Source organism: Homo sapiens, chromosome 14 (assembly GCF_000001405.40).
Source record: "Homo sapiens chromosome 14, GRCh38.p14 Primary Assembly".
NCBI classification, from domain to species: Eukaryota; Metazoa; Chordata; class Mammalia; order Primates; family Hominidae; genus Homo; species Homo sapiens.
In genome coordinates this window covers 37,526,107-37,553,987 of record NC_000014.9, presented here as the reverse complement: position 1 = coordinate 37,553,987, position 27,881 = coordinate 37,526,107, and the positions used below count along the sequence as shown (strand labels likewise).

Genomic DNA, 27,881 nt, shown 5'->3' with positions numbered 1-27,881 from the left:
CATATACTACAAAGAATATAAGGTAATATATTCAGAAACTCAAAACATTTTAAAGAAATACAAAAATATTCAGCACCCAACAAGATAAAATTTACAATAACTGGCATTCAATAAAAAGTTATCAGCATGTAAAGCAGAAAAATATAAACTATGGTAAGAAAAAAAAATCAATCAATAGAAACAGGCCAGGAAGTTGCACAGATGACATAATTAACAAACATGAACGTTAAAACAGTTATTACAGCAATCTCTTCTTATCTGTGGGGGACACATTCCAAGACCCTCAGTAGATGTCTGAAACCAAGGATAGTACCGAACCCTACATATATTTTTTCCTATATGTACATTTCTATGATAATGTTTAATTTCTAAATTAGGCATAGTAAGAGATAAATAATAATAATAAAATAGAATAATTATAACAATATACTGTGATAAAAGGCATGAGAATGTGGTTTCTGTCTCTCAAAATATCTTATTATACTATACTTACCTATTTTTGGACTGTGGTTAGTTGTGGGTAACTAAAACCAAGGAAGTGAAACCACTGTATATGTTTTATGTTCCTGAAGATAATGTAAAGCATGAACAAGTTAAGGAGAGCCATAAAAAATTTTAAAAACTCAATTCTAACTTATAGAGATGAAAAATACAATGTCTGTGAAGAAAGAGGGCCTGGATGGGTTAACAACACATTAGACACTGCAAAAGAAAAGATTAGTAAACTTGAAGACAAAGCAATAGAAACTATCCAAAATGAAACAGAGAAAAAAACTGAAAAGAAATATAATAAAAATATAGTTAGAACGAATAAGATCTAATATTTGATAGCACAACAAGCTGACTACAGTCAATAATTTATTGTACACTTAAAAATAACTGAAAGAGTATAATTAATTGTAACAAAAAGGATAAATGCTTGAGGTGATGGATATCCCATTTACCCTGATGTGATTATTATGCACTGTATGCCTATATCAAAATATCTCATGTGCCCCATAAATATATACACCTACTATGTACACACAAAATTAAAAATTAAAAAAAAGAACGAAGCATGAACAAGTTGTAGGATAACTTTAAGTAGCCTAATATCCAGAGAATAGTAGATCCAGAGAAAGAAGAAAAGAGATAGGGAAAAATATTGGAAGAAATAATGGCTGAAATTTTCGATAAAGACTGCAAATTCATGGATCCAAGAAGTTCAGCAAACCACAGGCACAGAAACATGCAGAAATCGACACTACATATCAAAATCAAATTGGTTAAAGCAAGTGACAAAGGGAAAATCTTTAAAGCAGCTAGAGGACACATAATGTACAGAAAATAAAAATAAGAATGACAGCAGGAACAAAGCAAACCAGAAATATTAGAGCAACATCTTTAAAATACTGAAAAAAATCCACAAAACCATGTTAACCTCAAATTCTATATGCAGCAATTTTTTTTTCACAGAATGGAGGCAGAAAAAGAGTCACATTTTCAGACATACAACAGTTGAACCAACAGTTCTTCACTGGTATAGATGATAAATACTTTGGGCAGAAGGAAAATGGTAACAGGTGGATACACGGATGTATGTAAAGAAAATAAGGGCATCAGAAATCGTAAATACACGAGTAAATATCACAGTAAATATCACATACGTTCATTCTTATTTTAAAAATTTTCTTAAACATAATTGACTTTTTAAAGTTAAAAAAATTACAATTATGTGCATATGTAGAAGTAAAATGTGTGACAAATCACAAAGGTCATACGTGATGAAACAATAATTTAACAAAGTAATGTGATAGTTTAGATAACACCAGTTTATAGAATTTTTGCCCCAAAGACACCTACTGCCCACTTCCACTCCATTCCTCTTTTAGTCATGTACTCTAAGCTGTAAATTCTAAGTTCACTCCAGGTGATAGAGTGCTACACAGTCTGTTTACATTTACCTTATCATGATTGAATAATCAAATGCAACAGAAAGAGTGTTTTTAGATTTCAGCTATTGAAGCAAAATTCCACGTACATATTCCAAAATGAGTAGAGGTGCTTTATGGTAGATTTGAGTCAGTCTATTATTATTATTATTATTATTATTATTATTATTATTATTATTTGAGACAGTCTCACTCTGTCACCCAGGCTGGAGTGCAATGGCGTGATCTCGGCTCACTGCAAGCTCTGCCTTCCGGGTTCACGCCATTCTCCTGCCTCAGCCTCCCAAGTAGCTGGGACTACAGGCGCCCGCCACCACGCCCGGCTAACTTCTTTTTTGTACTTTTTTTAGTAGAGACGGGGTTTCACCGTGTTAGCCAGGATGGTCTCAATCTCCTGACCTTGTGATCCGCCCGCCTCGGCCTCCCAAAATGCTGGGATTACAGGCGTGAGCCATCGCACCTGGCCTATTTTTTTAATTAAAATAATTTGATCTCACTTCTTATGTTCTTTCTAACCATATTCACTAAAAATGATATTTCTCTTCAATATTTTATTACTATAATTTTATTTTATATCTAAATAGTTTTGAAAGATTCCTAAGGTACCTAACAAATTTGTTCATATTGACATTTATCTTTATTAAATTTGTTAAGGAAGTCAGACAGTTTGACAGTGAACTTAATCTGTTTCCTTACTGCAATATATTTTATAGTGCATATCTAGTACACTGTCTTCAGGATTGTACATTTATAAATTTGATTAAGATCGATGTATAAGAATTGCATTGAAATATGTATAGGATTTGCAATAGGGGATTTTATTTGAGTACAAAGTAAATATATATTTTAAACATTTGAGTTTGTGCATTAAAATACATCTTTGTTAATAATCAGATAGTCCAGAAATTGGTGGCTTCTAAAATACCAGCATACACCAAAACTATATTTAGAAGACAATTAGATTAAAAATTATGCATATTAAGACTTCTGCAAAGGAATATCATTGTATACATTTTAATGATTCTCAAAAATACACATTTATCATTGTCAAATACTATTTATGAAGTCCTACATTAAATAATTCAACTTTTAGAAGTTTAACTTAACTTACACTAAAATATATAATAAAAAAGAAAAGTTTTCTTTTTCTAATTTCAGTATATATGCTGCCGAAGCAAGCACAAGAAAAACTCTTCAAAAAAGATTTTTCTAGTAAAAGGATTACAAAAAATTTGGTAACTTGAGATGCTCTTCTGGAACGTATGCTGCTGGTTTAAATGTGCAAGCTCCAACTTAACAAATGTTTAAAATATTTGAGTTTTTAAAACAGTGCCAAAACAAACCACATCTTTTCTAGAGATGACATATTTAGCTAAGCACGAGCAAAATAAATCTTTCAACCATTCCATGTATTTGTTTAAAAGCCTAAGAAACCACGTGCATTTCCAATAAAACATGAACAAAACACTGAAATCACTGGAGCCTAACAGTTCACTTATAAATCATTTTTTTAAAAGGTAAATGTATCGGTGTGTGTGCATGTATATATATATATATATATGTAAAATATGAATAGATAGGTTAGCTGTAAATACTAGTTACCAACAACACAATAAAATCAGTAAAAAATTTGGGTTCCAAACACATCATATGTGAAAAGACAAAAATATATAAGCCATGGCTATTTCATCATAGAATGCCTTATTAATCACAAGTATTTGAAAATAGAAAGTTTAAAAATAATTGTGATCTTTAAGAATAGTACATATAAAATGTTTTTCTACGAAACTATATTCAATATTAAAAGTATAAATCTTTAATATTCTAGATTTTTAATAAAATAAACAAATTATATAAATAAGCAACCTGATAAGAAGATGACTGAATTTATTTGAATAAGGAAATATACAAAGGATCAACTTTATCATTGAAAAAAATTAGCAAAATATTTTACTCCATATTTAAAATACATTAATAATTTCTAACTTATTTATAAAATTTTAAATTCTCATATATTAATAATTAATAACTTTGCTTTAACTGCTTATACCTTGCTTATAACCAATAACTTTGCTTATTACTGGTTTTAGCTCTAAATTGCTCTAGGAGATAGAGCAAGCCTTGAAGTTTAGACTACCATGTTAAAAAACTAAGCTGATAGGTTTTAGCATCAGGCCAAATTAAAAACAGTACAAAGAGACTCATGTTATGTTTTATTAGCAATGAATTGTCACAATATTCCTAATTAGTGAAGGCTGAGGCAAAGCATACTGCCACTATAATACCATAGAGAGGTGGTAATAATGTGATGCTGTTTACACATGCAGTTCACATTATTGTACTTCATTGAAAAAAATGTGTACAATCTTTTGATTATTAGGGAATTTGTATGTAGTATGTGAAAGAGATGGTACTATCACAACAGAAATTGCAAGAGTAAAATCTTTACTTTGAAATTTTTTTCTTACAGAGAGATTTAGAGACTCATAGTTGCATGGAGTGTGGTTATAAGATCTTAGTTCTAGGTCCTAGCCAGTCCTTGGCAAATTCCAAGGCTTACTGAGTCTGTTTCCTCATCTGTAGAATGAATATAATAATAATTATAATGACAGTAATACTAAAATTATCATCACCATCGTTATTATATGGGTTATATATATAATTTATTATTATTATGATTGTCGATAGGATCAAATGAAAAAACAGATGTAAAAGGACTTTGTAAATCATCAAGTGCTACAAATGTTAGTATTAGCATTTTGCCTTTCCTGTAAATTACTTATTTTTACAAGAAGAAGTGAATTCTCATGTTACTATAGGATTTAGAGTTGATGATGTGTAAAGCAAACTCAAAGCAACATTTCTCAGCAGTGTGGAATACTTCTAAAGTTGCATTATTGTTGAATACATAGAGAACCTATCTTCAGTAGGCAAGGCTATTCCTTCATACAGAAAAAATATATAAAGACCATCTGACACACTGTTGATGGACACTTTTAAGTGTAAGAAATTAATTAAGATAATATTTGGCTGTAATACTTTGCATTTGAAATTTTGTAGACAATTCATTTTCAAGAGGATGTGATATTTTTGGGAGATTACCTATACTGAACAATAGTGGATGTTAGAATTATTTTGCAAATTTAACTTTATAATATCATATTCTATAAAAGTTCTGCATATTAATTATAGGAATTGGTTTTTCTAATTTGATCATTTAAGCGTAGAAAGATTTGTTTGGAAATTGTGAAATGTCTTTATACTATATTTTGTGTATTCTAAAAGACAAAATAACTCAAGAAAAGTTCATCTGCTTTCAACATTAAACCGAAAATTCAAATTTACTTGTGATTTATTTTAAGTGAGATCAGGAATGGACTACTTTGTGACAAAAATTGTTTCTCTTTACTTACCTGCACCTCCCAGATGACTTTAAAGATAATGTTTCTTCACATAGGGAGCTGTTACACGTTTCAAATAGAGCCCAGAGACAAGACTCCATGCATGACCAAATCATTACATATTTCTCTATTATAGAGTCATTGGTCTATGAGAGGATATAATTCTCTTTAGGACTATAGAGCAAATTAAATCAGTTTATTTTTAACCCCTGTTGTCCCTTATTTTCTAATTCTCATAGTTAAAAAAGTTACTTTAATGGATACAGATTTAATAAGGAAGAAATAGAGTTTGTTAGCATTATGATTCTTTTGTGATCTATGACAAAGTAGCTTACATTTTCCTGTGGAGTAAAAAAAAATTGAAATGGATAATCTGCTATGGTATATGAAAGAATGGTACAATAAATTGTCCTGAATGTACTTATCCTGTAAATAGGCAATGGTAGATAATTTAGCTCAATCTTAAAGATGAATTAAAAACGTATAGACTTAGAAAAAATTTTACTTCCCTACAAAATTTTTGCTAATTAAATCTCTACTTGTCTATTTCATCCTGTTCCAGGCACAGTCATTTCCTCTTGGTCTTTCGTCTGTCTAATCTAAAAATATGAAAGTATTTTGCCTATAACTAATTACATAAAAATCTCAGTTCTATTCATAACTTCATATGACTGCTATGCTGTAACTATCTTATTTCTGGAATAAAATAAAAAGCAGGTAACCTTAACCAAATGGCAAGTTTACTTTTTTCTAAATTCTTATATTTCTACATTACAATTGTATTGAATATTATATATTAGATCCTCCTCCTCCACAATAAAAATCAAATGGCAATTAAAAAAAGATAAACAATAAGAATACTTAATAGGTTTGATGGTCTCTTTTAAGACAGAGGCATGCTAATTTTCAAGCAAAAATGACAGAGACTTATAGCTTAAGTAGAATTCAGATAATTATTCAGACCCAATATTAAAAAATACTGACAATGTGAATTTATAAGTACACATTAACAGTCTCCTCTTTTTATTGAAAACAGTTTGCATTATTTGTAGTGAAACAAAAATCATGCCTTGATGAATGTAATTTTAATATATCCATCTCTTATTAAACAAATTATACATTTAATTCTTGGCACCTATATTTAATATCTTTTATACTAACAAAGATTACATACACGCATTGAAGGAAGACTACACACTCATGTCTAAGCCTCTCTCATCAGTTAAGAAATATACCCTATATTGAAAAATGCATGTATTTGAAGTTTTGACCTAACACAGTGGATTAAAGCTTAGACAATATTTACTTTGCCGCACTTTGATTCAGAAAGGGCCATATGTGAAGATATGATCCTAACCAACTTTAACATGTTTCTATAATGATCTCTCAGTAAAAAGATTTATATTAAAGATATTGAGATATAAAATAGTTACAAAATAAGCTGTAACCTTATAGCTACCCATTGGTAAAAGTCTATAGTTAATATATTTGGATAAATAACTCAAGTCAGCAGCAAAGTGGTTAAACATTTGTGATTTGATTTTATCTCAGCTTGGAATGTGGTTGGAGTGTCCCACTTCTAACAACTGTTTGCTAAGTTAAGGCTTTGGTGTTTACACAGTGTTGAATGAAGCAGCCTGGTCACCAGATGTGATCGCTTCCCCAGACTGTCGTTTTTTTTCAATCAGATCACTGTCCTCATGGTCCCGGTTCCAACCTTCTTCCTCAGTACATCCACCAGCCTTTCCAACCTAAGTTGGGGTTGGGATGGGGGTGAGAAGGGGAAAAAAAGGGCAATTATTGTTAAGAATGTCCTGGCTGATAAAGGACAGTATTTGCCTGTGACCAAGCAGTCCTCACGGTCATGTTAAGAAACAAAGCATTACTGTGAGAGACACTGCTACAGAGTGCCAAGTATTTGAGGTTAAAAAACCCAGCAACGACACAAACTTTAACCCAGATCCTTGAATTATGTCAGCATTAGATGCCACACAAAATTTATAGGACACTTATTTCAATACATTTAGCTACTTGCATTAAGGTTGTGAATGAATCATTTACTATGCAATGACAGGATCACATATTAAATGTAGAATAAACTGATTTTACCTAAGAAAAGCACATATTTCAAAACACAAATATCAGCAATGTTTCACCTGTTACTTAGATAAGTGATTCATTGGTTGGTATACTGTGTAACTTCTATGTACTAAATTCCCATCTTTTCATAGAATCAGCTGATAAACATAAAGCCAGAAATAGTGGTTAGGTGGGAAACATTTCAAGTTACAGTAGCATGGAAATAATTTAAAAATACACAATGATTTGATACTAATAAAACCAGACTTTTTGTTCTAATTAAAAAAACACGTTTCTATTTCTGAGTAGCATAGATGCACTAGAAATTACCTACATAGACATTTTAGTCAAAGAAAATGATTTTTTTAGTTGACTAAAAACTAGTCAATTAAATTGAAAAGAGAGTCGAAAGTTCACAAGTCCATTCTGCAGTGTTCTTAGACTACTCTATGAGCGGGAGGTCACATTCATGTAGATCAGTAAGAGATGCTTGACAAAAGATGATAGAATCAGACCATTAATTGGTTTTCTTCTTTTATTTTCTTTACTGAAAGCATAAAACCTCAACCAAAAATCTTGCTTGATGTTATACACATAGAAATCTTCCTTATAAGTAAATATCATGCCTAGCAGTTTTCATATACACAATCTTCCTCTCTCAAAGACTTTACGGTAAGCGGCACAGTCTAGTCTGCTTCACAGTTTGCCTCATTTATATGGATCCATGCATGAGGGTCCTCTGCAAATAAACACAGCACAGAGCTAGACACTGAAGGAATGAGGGTATTCTTAGTGTCATACAAAGCTGGTTTAGATGATTTGGAAGTTCCACTGAGGAATGGACAAATCAACTGCATATAATGCTGAAAACTAGCTGAAGTTTATTGGATGATTTTGTATCTATCAAGAATTCTGTTAACAAAAAACAGGAAAATAAAACAAAATTATTCAGTGCATCAAAAAACTTTGCTTTAAGAACACAGTAATGATCTTAGAGTAAAAAGGCAAATCTTGTCTAAGTTTATTACTACAAACTTTTCTAAAATGCAAACTATACATAAATGTTGTATATCCACTAAAACAGTCTAGTGGTACAAATACCTGAACTAGAAGAGTCATTAGAAAATTCACTGTATTCTCAGATTAGTCTGCAATACTTGAACCTTCCCTAGTGGTTAAAAACTAGTGCTAACTTACACACTCTGAATATTATGACTCATAGCACTACATGAATCCTTTAAGGCAATGTTTAATTAACTTGAGTTGTGCAATGAGGGGAAAGAAAAATGTGAGTATGAATTATAGAACTACACTATGAAATTTTAAGTTTATTGTTAAAATCTGATAGTAACTTGAAATAACCATTAAATAGCTCCCAGCAGAAATCATTATAAGATATTAGTAGCATTGCTTTGCATATATTGTTAAAAGCCAGAAAATATTACTTGCAAACTGGCTAAATGTATCCCTTCTCCATAATATAATTTATACTACTAACTAGTGATAAAACCTTTTTCACAATATAAAAGTCAGCTCTATGTTGTCTAGTTATTATTATTGTTACTACAAATTCAGAATCAGTGGAATCCCAAATTACTGAGATGAATCTGTGTTGTGCTTCTTCTGGCTTCTCCTTTACAGACAGGCTCATCTTACTTTTGTTTCCTTTTTCTACATTAGGACATCTTTCCATTTAGAACTCTTATATGTTGTTAAGGTAAGAGATTAGGAGGAAATAGTTAAATATCATGTTTTGCAATGTCCTCATTGTATTTCAACAATTACCACATCAACTACAATCTCAATTTATCCAGGTCGAATGATTTATGAAAACCTGATCTCAGAAATGAGAAAGATGTCAATTACTTAGTTTTGTGAAAGCTTACTGACTTCTGTAACACAATGAAGCACCTATTCCTTCCTGTAAGGAATGGAATACACCTGCCAAACATGGGCTGTGCCAACAGGAAGGTAGACGTGTGTGTCTGTTGAAGCACCTTGCAGGATTTGCCTGCAGGCTATTCTTACTGTCCAAATCAATAATGTCCTTAAAAAATTATGTAGCTCACTAAAATAGGCTCCAGCTGCTTTAAATATTACTCAGTGATATCTTCTCAACAGCTTCATGAAACAGGAAAAGGGCTAGAGCTAGGATTAGGATTTCTCCATTTTAAATATGAAGAAACTGAAGAACAGACAAGTAAACCCTTATACAAGGTTGTGAGGAGGAGGAGACAAAGTCACTAAAAATGCTGCACCTAGGGTTTGCCATTAGTATTAAAGATCTTGCCCTCTCTCAGTCAGAAGGATGAGAAGACTTTAAATATGATTTTTGTTTCTTTTATCACTATGGTTGTTGTTTTGTTGGTATTTTTAATGTTGATGTATTTTATCATCTTTTCTTTTCATTTTGCTCCCTTGATGACACTTAAACGCTCATGACTTCCAAATCTAGACCCCTTTCTCAAAATTCTCTTCTGAGTTTTAGACTCACTTATCCAACTGCCTTCAAGAAATCTCCTCTTGCTTATACAATTGGCCTATGATACTCAGTATATTTAAAACAAAACTATTTTACTTCTTATGCATGTTTCAGTATTTCTTATCTTGATTAATGTTGCCATCCATTCACTCACTCAACCTTTCAGCTAAAATATTTAAGAAAAACTTGGTATATTGTATTTTTTTATTTACTTCAATTTGAACCTGTGAAAACTTTGTGATGAAACAACTGATGTAGACAGGGGAACACAATGAAAGGGTTTTAACTCATCTAGTAACATCATTTGCATTTTAGAAAGTTCATATTGCCAAGAATGCAGAGATGGGATGAAGGCAGGTTGACCTGTAGGTCAGAAGACCACATAGCCTTTTATTTAAAAAATATCCTAATGAGCACAATGGTGTGAATGTACTTACTGCCATTAAACTATACACTTAAAAATGGTTAAGATGATAAATTTATGTTATGACATTTTACCCCAATTAAAAAATATGTCAGGCCAGACAAGGTGGCTCACGCCTGTAGTCCCATCACTTTGGGAGGCCGAGACGGGCAGATCACTTGAGGCCAGGAGTTCAAGACCAGCCTGGCCAACATGGTGAGACCCTGTTTCTACTAAAAATAAAAAAAATTAGCCAGGTGTGGTGGCACATGCCTGTAATCCCAGCTATTCGGGAGGCTGAGACACAAGAACTGCTTGAACCTGGGAGGCCGAGGTTTCAGTGAACTGAGATCACACCATTGCTCTCCTGCCTGGGCAACAGACCAAGACTCTGTCTAAAAAAAAATAATAAAATAACTAAAAATAAAAATAAAAAATAATCCCAGTGAGAGCTGAAGGCCTGAATTAGAGCTGTACCAATGTAGATGGAAAGAAGGAGATGCATTTGAAAGATATTTAGGATATGGGATCCAAAGCACTTCATGACCTCTGAGGATAGAATGAGGTGAGGTGGATTGGGCAAGATGGCTGACTCCCAGGATTCTGGTTTTGGTGGCTATGTAGATAGTGATGCCCTAATCAAGATAATGGAGAGGAAGAACAGTAGATTTTCGCTGGGGAGTATGTGTGTGGGGGGAATATGTGTGTAAGTTAAGTCTTATACATTCGTGGTATCAGTAGGACGTAAAAGTGGGGATGTTAAGCAGACACTTGTATATAAGAGTCTGTGTTAAAGAGAGAATATTAGGTCTATTTCAGTTCAATCAACAAGTATTTGTTGGGCAATTCCTATGTGCCAGGCATTGTGCTGGGCTTTGATTATTCAAAGAACAGGACATAGTCCTTACTCATAAGAAGCAGTAAGGTGGGAAAGCAGATCTTTATATGGATAACTCCAGTAAGTTATTGATAAATGTTATAACATAAACACAGGTATTAACAGAACCTACCTTGGGTATGGAAGGAGAGGAAAGGTCTGTAAAGGCTTCCTGATGATGCCTAAGTGTTGAAGGATGAGAAGGAAAGAGTTACCTCAAGAAAGGTGGGAATGGAGACAGGGCATGGTTGTGCATTCCAGGCAGAGGAAATAACACACAGGTATAAAAAGTTTGATGTGTTTCAAGTACTGCCAGTAGTATAGTTGCTCAGAACAACAAAATAAGAGGTTAAAGATGGCAAGAAATGGGGCTAGACAGGTAGGCCATACTACATTTTACTTTCGGTTGCAACTGAAGCCAGAGGAGGGGATGGAAATGTTTAGAGAGAGAAGAAATAAAAAAGGAGAAGAGAGGGAGGAAGAGGATAGAACCAAAATGACAACAAATATATAAAGAAAAGAAATTCTAAAAATAAATTGAGAAAGAATGGTCAAAGAAGTAAAAGATGAACCAAGAGTAGGACAGTCACAGAATCCAGAGATGAGAACTCCAAGAAGTGAGTGATCATCAGAGTTAAGTAGGTGCTTAAACAAGATTAAAGTGAAATGTCCATTTGATTTGGCAGGAAGTGATAACCTTTTTTGAGTGCAATTGTAATGGTATGATAAAAGTGAGAAAAAGCATGAATGGAATGTGAAAAAGTGAAAACTAAGTATAGGCTGCTTTATAAGAGCTTGGTTAGGATGTAAAGAGAACTGTAGTTACAAGGGGACGTATGGCTGAAGAAGTCTTGTAAGAAATGGAAAACATGTGAATGTGTTGATAGACTATGGGAAAGGAGTCTAAAGAAACAGAAACATGCTAAGGTATAAGGGAGGAAGGAAATGCTTTTTAAAATGGGCTTCTGAGGAATGGATCATAAGCATAACTTGTAGGATTATCCTTGAAACTACGACTGGTTAACTTTTCTTGCAGACTAAAAGAACGGAGGTAGAAAGAATATATCTGTGGATAATTCTGTAGGTGTGGAGGAAGGAAATGACTGATCTCATACGTGCTAGATTCAATTTTCCTCATGGAATAGAAAGGTAAGATCTCTGCTGAAAGCATAGAGTGAGGAAAAAGGCTGAAAAAGAATAGTGAGGGTTTAATAGGACAAGAAAGGGAGGTGACCAGGGATTTGAAAAAGGATTTTTAGGTGGTATTGATGATCTAGCTAAAGCTAGACACTGCAGTCTTGTAGAAGACATAAACCATCATTGTGGTATAATTTTTTCCCCCATCAGCTCTATACTTTGGGGGTAGGTTTGCGGAAAGCAAGTTATAGAAGTAACTCAGAGTTTATGACTTACAGGGCAGTAGGGTGAAAAAGACGAGGACATAAGGAAACTGTCTTAGGGAGAAAGTGATTAAACCCAGACTCCAGACTGAGGGGAGAAGAAAGCAAGTCAACAAAGGGCTGTTACTCTACGGGGAGAATGGAAGGAGCAAGGGACTGGATATTTTGATTTGTGTTGAGGCTAAAAAGCAAGAAGAGCTGGAATAAGACTGTGATCTCTGTCAGAGAAGCAATTTTGACCTTAGGATTTCAGATGTAGAAAAGTTCTGAGTGACAAGAAGATCCAGAGTGAGTAGCTGAAGTGAAAAGGTAAAGGTCATTAACATTCAGGAGGCAAATGAATAATGCAGGTTATTGACATAGATATTGAAGTTTGTCAGCATGAATGCAGAAGCTGGAGTAGAGGGGAAGACACTGAATGAGATGCCTGAAACTCATATTAAATAAATGGCATTGATCAGGAGATCAGAAGCAATTACTGAACAAGAGGGATAGAGAATGATAGAGATGGATTATGTAAACCTCAAAGAAGCAGTTTTACATGGATGCAGAAGGTATGAAAGTACTAAAAGGGAACCAGAGCTTTCCTTCCTATTACATGGGGTAAGGGAGAAAGGCTGGTGTCTAGTGGGCTACTGGTAAAAAAGTGTTCTTGGTAAATTCAAGTTTCAGGTAAAATGTGAGTGTGACACATTCAGTGCAGAAGTTGTGGATAGACACAAGTAGAAACAATGGAAAGAAGGTTCATGAAGACCGATTAAAAGGAGCTGAGGTGTAAGGACAAAAGCAGAAGGAGGGAAAGATGGGGAGGGGAGGAAGCACAGAAATGTAAGGAAGAGGACAGGCAATTGATCGGCTTACCCATTCCTCCATGCAGAAGCTGTAACTAATGAAATAAACTTCTTGCTCAGTTTTAGCCACAACCGAAAGATACATATACAGTCTATAATGCACACAGATAGATATAAAAATGTACATATGCAGACATATTTATGAATATATACAGACACTACGATATAAATATGAACACACACAAATATGCTCACAAAAGTACATGTAAGACATCAGGGAATATAAAAAAATGAAATTGATAAGAGAAAGGTAAGAAGACTTCGTATCTGAAAAAGACTGAAGAATGAATTCATAAGTGAAAAGGTGAAGGTAGAAGTAGATGGGAAAATGGGTTGAAAAGTCATACAGAAAGTGAAAACAAGAACTGTTAGAAAGTGGTAAGAATGGTGTATTAGTCTGTTCTCACACTGCTATAAAGGGCTGCCCAAGACTGGGTAATTTATAAAGGAAGAAGGTTGAAATGATTCACAGTTCAGCCTGGCTGGGGAGGCCTCAGGAAACTTACAATCATAAGGGAAGGGGAAGCAAATATGTCCTTCTTCACATGACAGCAGCAAGGAGAAGTGTAAAGCAAAAGGGGGAAAAGCCCCCTCTAAAACCATCTGATCTCATGAGAACAGGAAGGGGGAAACTGCTCCCATGGTTCAATTATCTCCATCTGGTCCCTCCGATGAGACATGGGGATTATGGGAACTACAATTCAATATGAGATTTGGGTGGGGACACAGCCAAATCACATCAAATGGGGAGCTGAATAATAACTATATAGTCAGAGAATTATTCCTTATTTTCATAGAGAGCCTCATTGGCTCTTCTACCTATCTGCATACACCTACCCTTTAAATCATTACCCTACTTGATTTCCTTTATGAGGTGTTGTCAAAATGTTAAGAAAATTGTTGTATCTTTACTGTGTTTTACTTTTTTTGAGGCTAACACTTCCAGTCCTCGAAGGGCTTTGTATAGGTTAATAAATTGCTCACCATTATTGGTTACTCTCTCGGCATGTCTAGTGTTTTTAAAAACATAGAGTCCTATACAACAATCCAGTATGGTTCATTACAAAGGGAAATGGAACTTATATCTCTCTCAATCTGGGAATTTACTTCTATCTTAATGCTGCCATGTTTCACTATGGGCTTAGACTGAGCGTTGGGGCAAAAGGCTCACCCACTAATACCTGGGCCTGCTTTGCCAGCAAAACCAAGGCAAACTTCTCTTTTTTTGACATCTACAATTAATATTTCCATATCAGAATAAATCACCCAAAAGTCAGTAGCTTAAAACAACTCTATTTTATTTAATCATGTCAATTTGGGCTTGGCTCAGCTGGGCAGTTCTTTTTTTATTTTATTTTTTTTGAGACGGAGTCTCCCTCTGTCACCCAGGCTGGAGTGCAGTGGCACGATCTCGGCTCACTGCAAGCTCCGCCTCCTGGGTTCACGCCATTCTCCTGCCTCAGCCTCCCGAGTAGCTGGGACTACAGGCGCCCACCACCACACCCGGCTAATTTTTTGTATTTTTAGTAGAGACGGGGTTTCACCATGTTAGCCAGGACAGTCTCGATCTCCTGACCTCGTGATCCGCCTGCCTCGGCCTCCCAAAGTGCTGGGATTACAGGTGTGAGCCACCGCGTCAGCTGGGCAGTTCTATAAGCCTTGCCTGGAATCACTCAAGTAGCTGTAGTCCACTGGGGCTGGGTGGCATGTGCTAACAGTTGGTCCTGCCTTGTGGCTAGGACTCTCTCTTGATGTGCGATCTCACTCTCAAGTAAGCTGGCCCGGATTTATTCACGTGGTCAGCACAAGTCAGCAAGAGGGCAATGCCAGAATCAGTGAGGCCTCCTGAGACCTTGTTCAGAAGTTGTACAACATCCCTTGCTTTCTTTTGTTGGTTAAAGTGAATCGCAGCCAGCCCAGATTCAAAGGGTGGAGCACGAGCAGCTGAAAAAAATTTGTGGCCATTTTTTATCCCACTATAGTATTGATCCTAAATTTAAGATTTTTACATTTATCCCTGTCAGATTTCATCTTAGTAAATATAGCTCATTTTCCCCAGCAATTCATATCTTTTGGCATCCTGAATTTGCTATCACTTTTTTTTGTTCTTTTGAGAAGTCTACTCTTTATGTTTTTAACTTAGGTCTTCAGAAAAATGTTGACTGGGAAAGAACCAAAGATAAAGTATAGAGAAAAGCTCTTACAGGCAATTTTACAGAGTATAATATGTATTCTTTTTCAATTAGCTATAAATTCTCAGAACTGTGCAATCATTTCTTGATCTTTTCCAGAAAGTTATTATGAGACAGTTTGTGAAATGACTCCTGAAATCAAGACATATTAAAGTTCATTATTCTTCCTTACCTACTAGCTATAGAGGTTAATTCCTGAAATGTAGCTAGACCTGCAAGGCTCATTATATGGCAACTAGGACTGGTTTGGCTGTCAGAGCATACTAAGTCCTTAGTGAGTAGATCACTGAGTTATTAGGTCAGTCTGCAACTAAAGAAGCTGGACCAGCTACAGGGTATCATCCAGAAGCACTTATATCTATTTCAATTAGAGTATTAAAGGGCTTAATTAGGGCTTTTACAGATATCAAAAAAAGCCTAATAACCTAATTTCATGATCTGTGACACAGAAGCAGAAGTTTCTAGACTGTTATGATACTTGGCAAATATGGTGTGTTTGCAGACCATTTCTTGTTGAAGTTGATATTATGCCTTGTATGGCTCACAGCATAGAGCATTTACTTTATTTTTAAATTTAATTTTAATGAGTGGTCTTTCAACATTCAATATATATTCACTGGAAAGCTATATTGAAGAGTCCATAAGTCACTTTTATCAAAGCCAAATCGTGAATTCCAAAATACTACCAACCTAACAATGCTGTGTTTGGTATCATGCATTTTGCCTTATTAAAAATACATATTTTTTTGAACACATTCACTATTAAATGGATAGGAACTTAAAAATTGATCTTGTTTTACACAATTTTGAGACTAAAACATTTGTAATCTTATTAATAGAAAACTCAAATTTAATAATGGGTTGTGATTGATTCGGCTGTGGGCATAATTTATTTACCTAGAATTGGGCATTACAACAATAATAAAGTCAGATTTCAGCTATCATTATACTACAGAAAATGCAAAAAAAATTGACACTAGCAGGGATGTAGAAAGCCAAAGTAACTATCAACTATGACTTATATCATACATATAAGTGTCTTCCTTGACAAAGGATAGTGTTAAAAATCTTAGCCTAGCTAAGGTGGCATTGAAAGTTTACATGGATATCATACTTAGAATCAAGCATTCTTCTCTTTGTTAATCTTCATATTAAGATCTTTGAGATTAAGTAGAAACCAAAGAATGCATTTTAAAAGGCCCTCTTACTACCTACTTCATCCACCGTGTTCAGGTATCTCCAATATCTTGTGATAGTCATGAGATTTGAGAATTTTCATCAGTACTAAAATGTTGCTAAATTTAGAGCTTTATGTAAGTTTAAGCAGAGTAGATACCTAGGTTTTGTTTAGATACATTTCAGCAAAAAAGCCAACTTTCAGCAAAAGCATTGATTGCATTATCAGTCTAGTTTTTGACCTAAAAATGATGACTCCCAATTCAATACTTATGTACACATTGTTTCCACTACCAACCCCCACTATCCCAAACACAAGGGGATACTCAGGAAATGAAGCTTAGAAAATTATTATGGTTCTTAAAATGATTTTGGGCCACATTTTTTTCTTTTACACCTGATATCAAATAGTCAAAGTAACAATTGTTTGGGCTAGTCATGGGACAGAACTATGAAAGTGGAAAGTTTGTCTTTATTTCTCAAAGAGCAAAGTCTAAAATAATTTGGTAATAATAATTAAAATGGAGTTCCAATAGTAATAGAGAATTCTAGAGAGAGCGAGAAAAAACTCAAAACAAAAACTCAATGCTTAGCAGAAATGTACCCGAATGATACTTCACTCATTTCCCATCAAGAATCTAAGTATCCTCATATTCTCCTCCTAATGATGCTTAGCACTTGCCCTGAACTTTATGATGATGTTATGTGATTCCCAAAAAGGCATATCTATAATTTATTACAGTACAAAGCTTTAACTCAAATACGGGAATATCTGATGGAGAAATTTCAGGTATCAATTGATAGATATCAAAATAGATGTATTTTGGGATTCACATTTTTCTCTTAAACGACTCCTGGGATGTGACTATCATCTCTGTCTGCATATAAGATTGCCCCTTACACGTCCCTCTTATTGTCAACTGGTATGATTGGCTGGATATACACGTATCTTAGAAAAGGGAGAAAAGCAAGAAAAACTTTGGAGATACAGCCAACAATATTTAGCGTTAAAGCCTCATTACTAATCAGGTATGAATTAGTTTGTTGATTTCTCCTATAACTTCAAAATTAATCAAATCTAATTCAGCCCTTTCCCCCAAACTATTTCGCTATGTAAAAACTTATCAGCCAGGTATGGTGGTGCATGCCTGTGGTCCCAGATACTAGGAAGGCCGAGGTTGGAGGATTGCTTGAGCCCAAGAGATTGAGTCTACAGTCAGCTGAGACTGTCCCACTCACTGCACTCCAGCCTGGGTAACAGAGCAAGATCCTGTCTCCAAAAGAAAAGAAAGGGACAATAAAGGAAAGGAAAAAGAAATTGAAAAAAGATAAAGAATTACTGGAATAAAGGATACAAAGAAATAATGTAGATAAATTAATTTAGCTCCTAAGATATGTAATTATACAAAGCACTGTCATTCATTCATTTATGCATATTTCTTAGGTAATTATTTTGTGAATAGCACCTTCTAAACACTTGTTCTACACAGCCTTTTAGGTGTTTCTACTGTAGATATATATCATATGAAGTCTTTTTACAAAATTCTCTGTAGGGATGGATTATAAAAGGAGTTTTCATCCATAGCAAGTTATAATATAGGGAGTTTCATGTTATACCTTTTTCAAGTGGCTGAAAGGTTTTAAATACTGTGAACGGGAGAGTGTGTTACATAGGAAAACAGTGAGAAAGTGAGAATAAGCTGTACTCAGATCTCACAATTCCTGGGTCATTTTATTTACCATGCTGCATTAAGCTTGTCTTTTAGATTTACATTAACATTAAGAAGTTACTTCACACCTTGAAATTCAGCAAGAAACTTGGATTTATTGTTGAGATTAAATAGAACACAGAAAAAACTTGATATGTGTATATTCAACTGTCCTTAGATTAGATATACGACATTCCTTTTTCAATGTCATTAATATCAAAAGTAGACAAGGCGCCAAAAAATTACCTATATTTTAAACATTGACTAACTACTATCTTTTAGGTAACCTTGAAAAATGAAGCTCACCAATCAATCATATCAATTAATACCTACTAAGGTGAATAATAAACATAAACGTTGGATATAAAAATTAAAATATGTGAAACTTTGTTTTATTTACTTTTATTTCACCTCTTTTAAAAATGAGAACATAGAGAATAATTAAAGCAATATTTCCTTCTTTATAGTATCACTAAAGTAATTTTATTTCAAGTTTTGGATTTTAAAATACTACCTTTGGTATAATTTTACTCAAGGCTTAATTAAGACTTTGTAAGTTAGATATCTAGATTAAAATACTACCTTTGGTATAATTTTACCCAAGGCTTAATTAAGGCTTTGTAAGTTAGATATCTAGATTGTCCCCTGGATTCCAGTTGGAACATGGCAGCACTAAGTGTATTAGATGATACTATTAGGAAAGTACGTAACAGAAGATAATGGAGTTATTTTGCTTAATCCCCTAACAACATTAGAAAGTGATTGAGATAATAGAATAAATTAAGATTAAGTTACAATTTTATTGGGCTCCTTCACTTTGTCTCTCAGGGGATATTTAAATCATATGTAACATTCCCAAGAAAACTCAATTCCAATAACAAGCCCATGAGGCTCCATAAGGGTAGGGACAATGTGTTTACCACTGTATATTTGGTAACTAGCCCAACAGGCTCTCAAAAATCAATAGAATATTGCTTATGAATAAATATCACACACATATGTTGGGAATAAGAAGTACATTCACATTTTCTATTCTAAAGTAATGGGTTGAAATTTTGCTGCTGACCTCCTAAAAGTAGGTTTCAAGAATAAAAGAAAGTCAATTAATTAATGTGAAGATTTGTAGTATATATTTTGTCAATAACCTTTGCAGAAGAACATTAAATGATAGAGCAGTTATCTAAAAAGAACAGATTTCTCTCACTTTAAATCGAAGGAGTTTGGGAGACTTGGTGAGAAATATGTTAGATAAAATTTCACCCTAAGTAATAACTAAGTAAAGGTTAGCCTTTCTGTATCAGGAGGAATTTATTTAATGTGATAACAATGAATCACTGCTTCTGGAAAACCAGAATTTCAGATCATCATCATCTTCTTCTTCTTTTTCTTCCTTTTTTTTTTTTTTTTTGAGATGGAGTCTCGCCAGGATGGAGTGCAGTGGCATGATCTTGGCTCACTGCAATCTCCACCTCCTGGGTTCAAGCACCTCTCCTGCCTCAGCCTCCCAAGTAGCTGAGATTAAGGGACGTGCCATCATACCCAGCTAATTTTTTGTACTTTAGTAGAGATGGAGTTTCATCATGTTGGTCAGGCTGGTCTCAGCTCTTCTTTTGATTTCATAATTTGTCAGAAGAAAAAAGAAGCTTACAAAGGAATGAAGTTGCCTTGAATGTGGACTGCTTATGCATCTTCTATGGAAGAAGCATCGGAGTCAAAAATAAGCAGGCATGTGACAGAATGTAGGAAAAAACAAATTCAATGCCAACCATTTCAATGATCCCATTTAAAATTATTTGATTTCTAAGAATTGTAATGGGATACATCAGTGGTATTTTTTAAAAAGGATGTAGATTAGTGGGAAAGTCCCTCTTTTTGCCTTATTCTGGTGTTTGTGTTTTACTCCTACTCCCCATATGAGCATTTGCTTAAGTTACAACTGAAGGCTTATAGAGTATCTTGATTTCTTTTAGCCAGAAATGGAGTTTGTTGGTTACATCACTGTCTCATCTAAAACATCACAGTTTCACTATTTTTAGAGTGTCTTTTGTTAAAAATTAAGAGTGATAAGTTGTTTCCTTCTTAAATATTGTTTTGAAAACTGCTCAATTATACTGTTCTCATAGGCTTTTTCTTATCGGGAATCAATCCTTGGTTTCAAGATAAGGATATAATAAATAGAAATCTGAAGTATAATTTCATTCATGGTATTACTGGACTTTCAGACGGTCACTGCTTCTTTCTGGCAGTTTAAAACTGCATGTTATTGGGCTTAGACATTGTATAAAGTCCTAATCTTTTTACATAAATAAGAGTGATTCATTTTTCTAAAACATCAAATTTAGTTGTTATATAACCATGAAAAGGCAGATGGCTCTGAAATTGTTATGATGCATACTCATCATAGACTATACTTTATTTAATTAGTATAATATCACAACATAGAATATAGAAAATGTTATAAAGCCTATAACACATATGCATATATTTTCATTTATCACAAAATAGTGTACAAACATATACACTTTTTTTGTATTTTATAGACAAGGAATTCTGAATGCAGAGAAAGATTGAAGAATTAAGAGGTTACTCAGAACCATCCTACTCTATGAAATAATAAATGAACAAGAAAAAACATATTAATATGTTACTAGCATCATATATATACATAAGCTAATAAGCACATATTTACAGCAACTACTCATATTATCTAGGTGATTTACTCAAAATAGGTATTTCTACCAAAGTTCAGTAACAAAACACATACCAAAAGAGGTAGCTACTGCATACTGCCCACACCTAAACTAATCTAAGGAAAAATAACAAATTACCATGTTCACATGTCGTGTTTTGTAGAGTTTCTGAAAATCCTTGAGGATTTTACCAGGAGACAGGTTTGAGACTATTCTCTTAGTAAGACTGTAAGACTGACTTTCATTTTTTTTCCTGATTCCTGATTTTCATATGCCACTTGCAAATGTAATTTTCATTCTTTAATATCCATTCACTTCACAGTTAATATTTCTCAAGCACCATAGATGACTTGAAATTAAATCACATACATCTTTTCTTTATGCGTTAAAGTGTTAGTATTAAGGATTAATGGGCTTTATTCTCAGTACCTAGATTATTCTTTGGTAGTAAGTTAGTAACATAGGAACACATTAACTCTTTCAAACTGACAGGACACTAGTAAACTATATCAGGGACTGAGTTACAATGATCTTAAGTGTGAATTACACTTATGTTCAAATTTATTTACTGTGAGTGATCACAGAGATGGACTTTTCATGTGATTTCCTTTAGACTTACAGTATATTTGTACTGTTAACAATTTATATAAATCTATATATTCTAGAAAACATCTGGAAATTGGCAGCAAACAATTAAGGCCTCATTTATTTATAATGATTATGATTTAGAGAGTTACGAAAGACACTTTGTCAATTTACTCAGAAATGCGTAAGTAATACATAGTCACCCTCCATCCCTTAATGCCTCTTCCTCTCCTTTTGAACAGATGGGTAATGTACGGCGGGCATGGGAGGTGGAAAGGACACAAGGACTGGCCCACCACCTTCTCTGTCCACCAAGATGACAGCTTATAGAGCAGAGGAGGCATATAGGTCCCCTTCTCTCCCCTCAATGTACCATATAGTCACCTACAGTGCCAGCTCTGTAAGGCCAATGAAAATTATTGTTTCATCTTAATTAGTAGAACAATTCTCATCTGTGTGCTAAGAGAATAGCCACAAACCTGTCTCCTGACAAAATCCTCAAGGATTTTCAAAAACTCTACAAAACATGACATGTGAAAGTTGTAATTTGTTATTTTTCCTTAGATCAGTTTAGGTTTGGGTGACACGCAGTTATCTGCCTCTTCTGGTATGTGTTTTGTTTCCCAACTTTGGTAGAAATACCTATTTTGAGTAAATCACCTAGATAATATGAATGAATAGTTGCTGTAAATATTTGCTTATTAGCTTATAAGTATATATCATGCTAGTAATATATTAATATATATATTTTTTGTTCATTTATTATTTCATAGAATAGGATGGTACTAAGTAACCTTTTAGTTGTTCAGTGCAGGTAATACAGAGAGAAGGAAGGCTTCAAGGAAATTGAACTTGGTCCTGTAGAATGGGTGGGATACAAATAAGCAAAGAGGAAAGAAAAGAGGGTAACGTAGAGGAAAAAAGCAGCATAGATGAAGCACAGGTACAAGGGCGAATATAGTCTATGAGAGGAACTGCATAGAGGTCAGTCTGGCAGGAACAAAGAGAGGCAAATAAGCAAAGATTTACAACTATTCATTGTCCATCCTTCATCATGTGCCTTCTTAAACAAAATAATTAGTATAATTCTTTCTGGCTGGGCGCGGTGGTTCACGCCTGTAATCCCAGCACTTTGTGGGGCCGAGGTGGGTGGATCACATGAGGTCAGGAGTTTGAGGCCAGCCTGGCCAACATGGTGAAACCCCGTCTCTACTAAAAATACAAAAATTAGCCAGGCGTGGGGGCGGGCACCTGTAATCTCAGCTACTCGGGGGGCTGAGGCAGGAGAATTGCTTGAACTCGGGAGGCGGAGGTTGCAGTGAGCCGGGATCATGCCACTGCACTCCAGCCTAGGTGACAGAGTGAGACTCCATCTTAAAAAAAAAAAAAATCCTTTCTACATGCAGCCTCCAGCTGCTTATATCTGGACTTTAAAATATTCACACATCAGGCTACTTCTGATAATTCTCAATCTGAATGACATCACTTCAGAAAGTGATCTGCTGTTTGCCCAGTAGAGGAGTTACATATTATTGCCTTCTGAAGGATGATACCTCAAACTGCAGCCTTGACATCTGGCCTATCTTTGAACGGCTTGAGATACAGCTCTTATGAATAATCTTTATCATTCAGAATAACTTTGGACATTCTGACTTTTAGCACTAAACTCCATGGAAAGAGTTTAATTATTTGGGAAATGGGGTTATACAATCTAAATTGCTATCATTCCATAGAAATTCTCATGGGTATTTCTATTATTCCCAGAGAAGAATCCTTACAAGCCCTTCCTTTCTTTTCCTTGTCAGTTTCTAGAAGCCAATTTTGATGAGTTTTATATCTGCCATCTGGCCGTACTTTTCTCAAACTCAACTTAATATTTTTTCTCATAAGTTTATAAGTTAGGGTTACACAAAAGAAAATGAAATTAGTTCTTAGTATTGAAATAAAGACGTTCTATTAATGGCACTGTGTTTTTCCTATCTCTTATGCAGAGAACCTTAAGATGCTGAATTCTTTACCCTTCACATCTAGTTGGTCATTGAATCACATTTTGTCGATAATGTTTCTGATATGAATTTCTTCCTCCCATTCTCACTGCTACCAACCTACATCAGTACATTGTTTGTCTATCTTAAAATACTATACTATCATGACTTCTTAGCTGGTACTCTTACCTCTAACACCAACCTGATTTAATAAATCTTCCAATGCTAAGTGAGAGATTGATGCTCCTAAAATGCTATTTTCATCAAGTAATCGCCACTGCTTTAAAAACTCTGCAATGGCTTCTTATTTCCTATCACAGGAAATCTAAATGCATTTGCATACTTTTGAAGGCTCTCAGTAATTCAGACTAGTCTCGCTTATCTGATCTCATGCTCCAGGAGCCTCCGCTCCTGCCAGGGTGACCTCTCTGCAGCTCCTCTCATAGATTATATTTACTCTTGTACCTGTGCTTCATCTCTGCTACTTCTCTCCTCTGTATTACCCTCTCTTCTTTCCCCTATGCTAATTCATATCCCACCCATTCTACAGGGCCAAGTTAAATTTCCTTGAAGCCTTCCTTGTCGCCGTATTACCTGTACTGAACAACTAAGAGGTTACTTAGTGCCATCCTACTCTATGAAATAATAAATGAACAAAGAAAATTATGGCAATATATTACTAGCATTATATATATACATACATATACACAAATTACAAGATACCAGATACTTTTAAACTTAATTCTATTTGCAGGCACTTGAACCCTCTCCAAATATTTAGGTACAAGTATGTTTACTGCAGCAGTATTAGGAAACAACTCAAAACCAGCAGTATAAAATTCTCGTGGGCAAAGGAGGTATGAAATGCTTTTAATGTATCCAACCAGTAGTGCTAAATACATGACACAATTTTTTTGATTTAGCTGTCTTTATATCTTGTAATAACGGTAACAGAGATGAAAATAAAATCAATTTTGTTGCTTTTTTCTTACACTAGTCTACATTTTCCACTAAAATCCTACATCTTTCCAAAAAGTGATAAAATGTTTTAAATTCCATCCAGTAAGTAGTCAGACTAACAAGACATTTTTTCTATTAATGCTTACAATGAAATGGCAAGAAGAGGTGTTGCCAACTGTAAAAAGCAAGTTGAAAGAGTTATTCATACTTGTCACCTTTTTGCCAAAAACTTCCCACAGGCATAGTACTTCGAATGCTATGTTCTATACCTGAAGATTTAAATCACTCACATTAATCTGTCAAAAACTCTGGTCCACTATTTTGACATGCTTACTGAGGACAGAGGATGACTGACTATTCTCAAGGAAGTTACTAACTACTGTCCAAACCTTCTCTCTCAGTCTGTGCAAACTATAGCAGTGAAGCTCTTTGATGGGACACACACTGCCTTTTTCAGCTTCACATCATTCTTTTCTATTAGGTACCAGTGTTTTTGAAAGTTATAAAAAAAGCATATTTAAAAAGTACAGAAATTTTGAATAGTTTCTCAGTATTTGTACCATAAGTAAATCCAAATTAAATTCTAGCTATTACTATATATCTTTATGGCTTTTGCAACTTAGATCACTCTTAGAGAATATTATGATAATACACTTTATAATTAGACGGCAAGATGAAATGTTATCTTTCTGCTATAAAAAAGTACTATATTTCTCTCTTTTCCATATACTTAAAGGGAGTTAAAAATACACAGTTCCTCAAGGATATCTCTATAAATAGCCTAATTGCTTTTCTAACTGATAGAAACTTTTTCTAACAATTCTAAATATTCTTTAACTCAAGAATTCCATTTGCACAGATATGTGCAAATATCTAGCTTTAAGTATTTTCACTGCAGTGGTATTTGAAAATAACAATTAAATTATAGTACAATCATAGAATAGACTTAAAGCCATTTAAATTGTTTATTCTTCATATGTAAAAGATTATATATAATAACATAGGAAGTTTTTCATAATATGCTAAGTGAAACAATCAGGTCATAATATTATATGTATTGTATGAAAACATTTTGTAAAAATGTCAAGTTGCCTAGCTATATTTTAAACTTTTTCTAAAATGAATGTGTATTACTTTAGTAATTTGTAAAAATATGTATGATGGATGAAAAAAGCATTTTCTGATTGGCCAATCAAAAAGATATTAATATTTCTTTTGATCACGATAAACACTTGTATATAACTGCTAAAGTGAACATGAGGGTATTTAAAAGGTTAAAAAATGCAATCTTTTTTTTTCATCCTATTCTCATTTATTTTTTGCTGAACTCTCCAAGGGTTTTAGGATCTTATGAGCCTGACAGAGAATTAAGCTCAAAAACTACATGCAGCTGTGTTGCTACAGAGTTTATACTAAATATATATATTAGGCAGGTTTTATAGTTTTACTTCTTCATACCTAGACATAAATTAAGGGGACATGTGGTATACAAAGATGTTATTTTATTGTTCTTTTCTAACATCATAAGTCAAGGCCCTACAATTTTGATAATTAAGCATTTACAATATTTGAATGAAAAGAAGCAGAGTTTTTTATACAGTTAAGACTATCTCAGAGGCTTTCCTTTAATCTCTCACATTCAAATGAACCCAATCTAGAATCTAAGGGTTCAAACCTCTCACTGTGTTTTGATCCTGTTTGTTCTATCCCTGAAGGATATTTGCATTGGAAGAGATGATTTATGACTGAAGAACTATGACAGCTTATTTGCTAAGATAAACAAATCTGAATTAGTATTAAGTTATAAAAACTATTACCTACTGGGCTTCTAATTAATAAAAATAACTCTTTTAAATGGAAAAAAATAACACAACGGCTAAGTTTACAAACAGTTCTAATGCTTTCTCTAGGTAATCATAAATGATAATAATAATAACCTCAAATAAGCAACTCAAAAGAAGGCAAGCTGTTTGTTATCATAAAATACCACAATTTAACACAATTCTGACACTGTAAAAGAAAAATAAAACCTCTCTGTTAAAAAAAAACATGCAAAATTTCAAACAGGAAAAACTGCTTACAGTGCATATAATAAAAAGCTAATTTATTTACTACTCAGAGTTTTTATAAATCAATAAAAATTGATTTATAAACAATTTTTTGTCCAACACAAAAATGGGAACCGGTCAGGAATAGGCAGTTCACATAAAAAGAAAAATAAACTGCTAATAAAATATTTTTAAAAGCTTAATCTTATTCCTAATAAAATAAGTGCATATCAGAACAATATAATTTTTTACCTTTCACACTGGAAGGCTAACAACTTACTCAATAGTAGTGAATGCTTACAGAAATAAGCATTCTCTTAGACATTGTTGTTCTCAAATATTGTTCACATAACTTTTTAAAATAACAATTTGACAATTTTTGTCAAAATTAAAAGAACACACATTTTTTGAACCTCAAAATGTTCATTTCTAGGAATTTATCTTACAGATTTATCGAAAGAACTACACAAAAATATGTTTGAGGAAGACTGCTCATTTACAGCACTGTCTGTAACAGCAGATTTTAAAAATTAAACCAGGCCAGGTGCGGTGGCTCTCGCCTGTAATCCCAGCACTTTGGGAGGCTGAGGCAGGCAGATCACAAGGTCAGGAGATCAAGACCATCCTGGCTAAAACGGTGAAACCCCGTCTCTACTAAAAAAAAAAAAAAAAATACAAAAAATTAGCCAGGTGTGGTGGCGGGCGCCTGTAGTCCCAGCTACTTGGGGGGCTGAGGCAGGAGAATGGCGTAAACCGGGGAGGTGGAGCTTGCAGTGAGCCGAGATTGCGCCACTGCACTAGAGCCTGGACGACAGAACGAGACTCCGTCTCAAAAAAAAAAAAAAAAAAGAAAAGAAGTAAAAGTCCACTTTGCCTTTCCAAGTGCCTTCTCACTGTATAGTACAGCAATAATTCTAAACACAGCATAACAAATTCCTTATCAGGAATAATAGTCATTCTGTGTAAAATGCATTTAGTTGATAGGTTTTGTTGTGTTCAGTATTTCCAAAAAAAAAAAAAAAGCATATATACAACTACACTGACTACAGAGGCTTGATTATGAGAGACTAATATTTAGTCAAATTATTAAGAAATCATATTTTAAGTTATCT

General features: G+C 34.0%; 1 protein-coding gene across 12 annotated transcripts in view, besides 1 other annotated feature; it reads right to left on the bottom strand.

The window, feature by feature from the left end:
* MIPOL1 (mirror-image polydactyly 1) overlaps positions 1,627-27,881 on the bottom strand; it is a 354,425-nt gene continuing 328,170 nt past the window's right edge. For 9 of the 12 annotated variants that reach the window (NM_001388068.1, NM_001388071.1, NM_001388074.1 and 6 more), the window contains one exon: positions 2,729-7,083. In NM_001388068.1, coding sequence (NP_001374997.1) covers positions 7,017-7,083 — 67 coding nt within the window. In that variant the 3' untranslated portion in view covers positions 2,729-7,016. Of the gene's footprint in view, positions 7,084-27,881 lie in introns of all 12 variants that reach the window. The other 3 variants (NM_001195296.2, NM_001195297.2, NM_138731.7) reach the window with 1 other exon arrangement.
* Positions 6,850-7,144: a silencer, noted in NCBI's record as "tiled region #2445; HepG2 Repressive DNase matched - State 5:Enh". NCBI's record gives its function as "represses a minimal TATA promoter and a strong SV40 promoter by Sharpr-MPRA in HepG2 cells {active_cell/tissue: HepG2}" and the evidence as "EXISTENCE:reporter gene assay evidence [ECO:0000049][PMID:27701403]".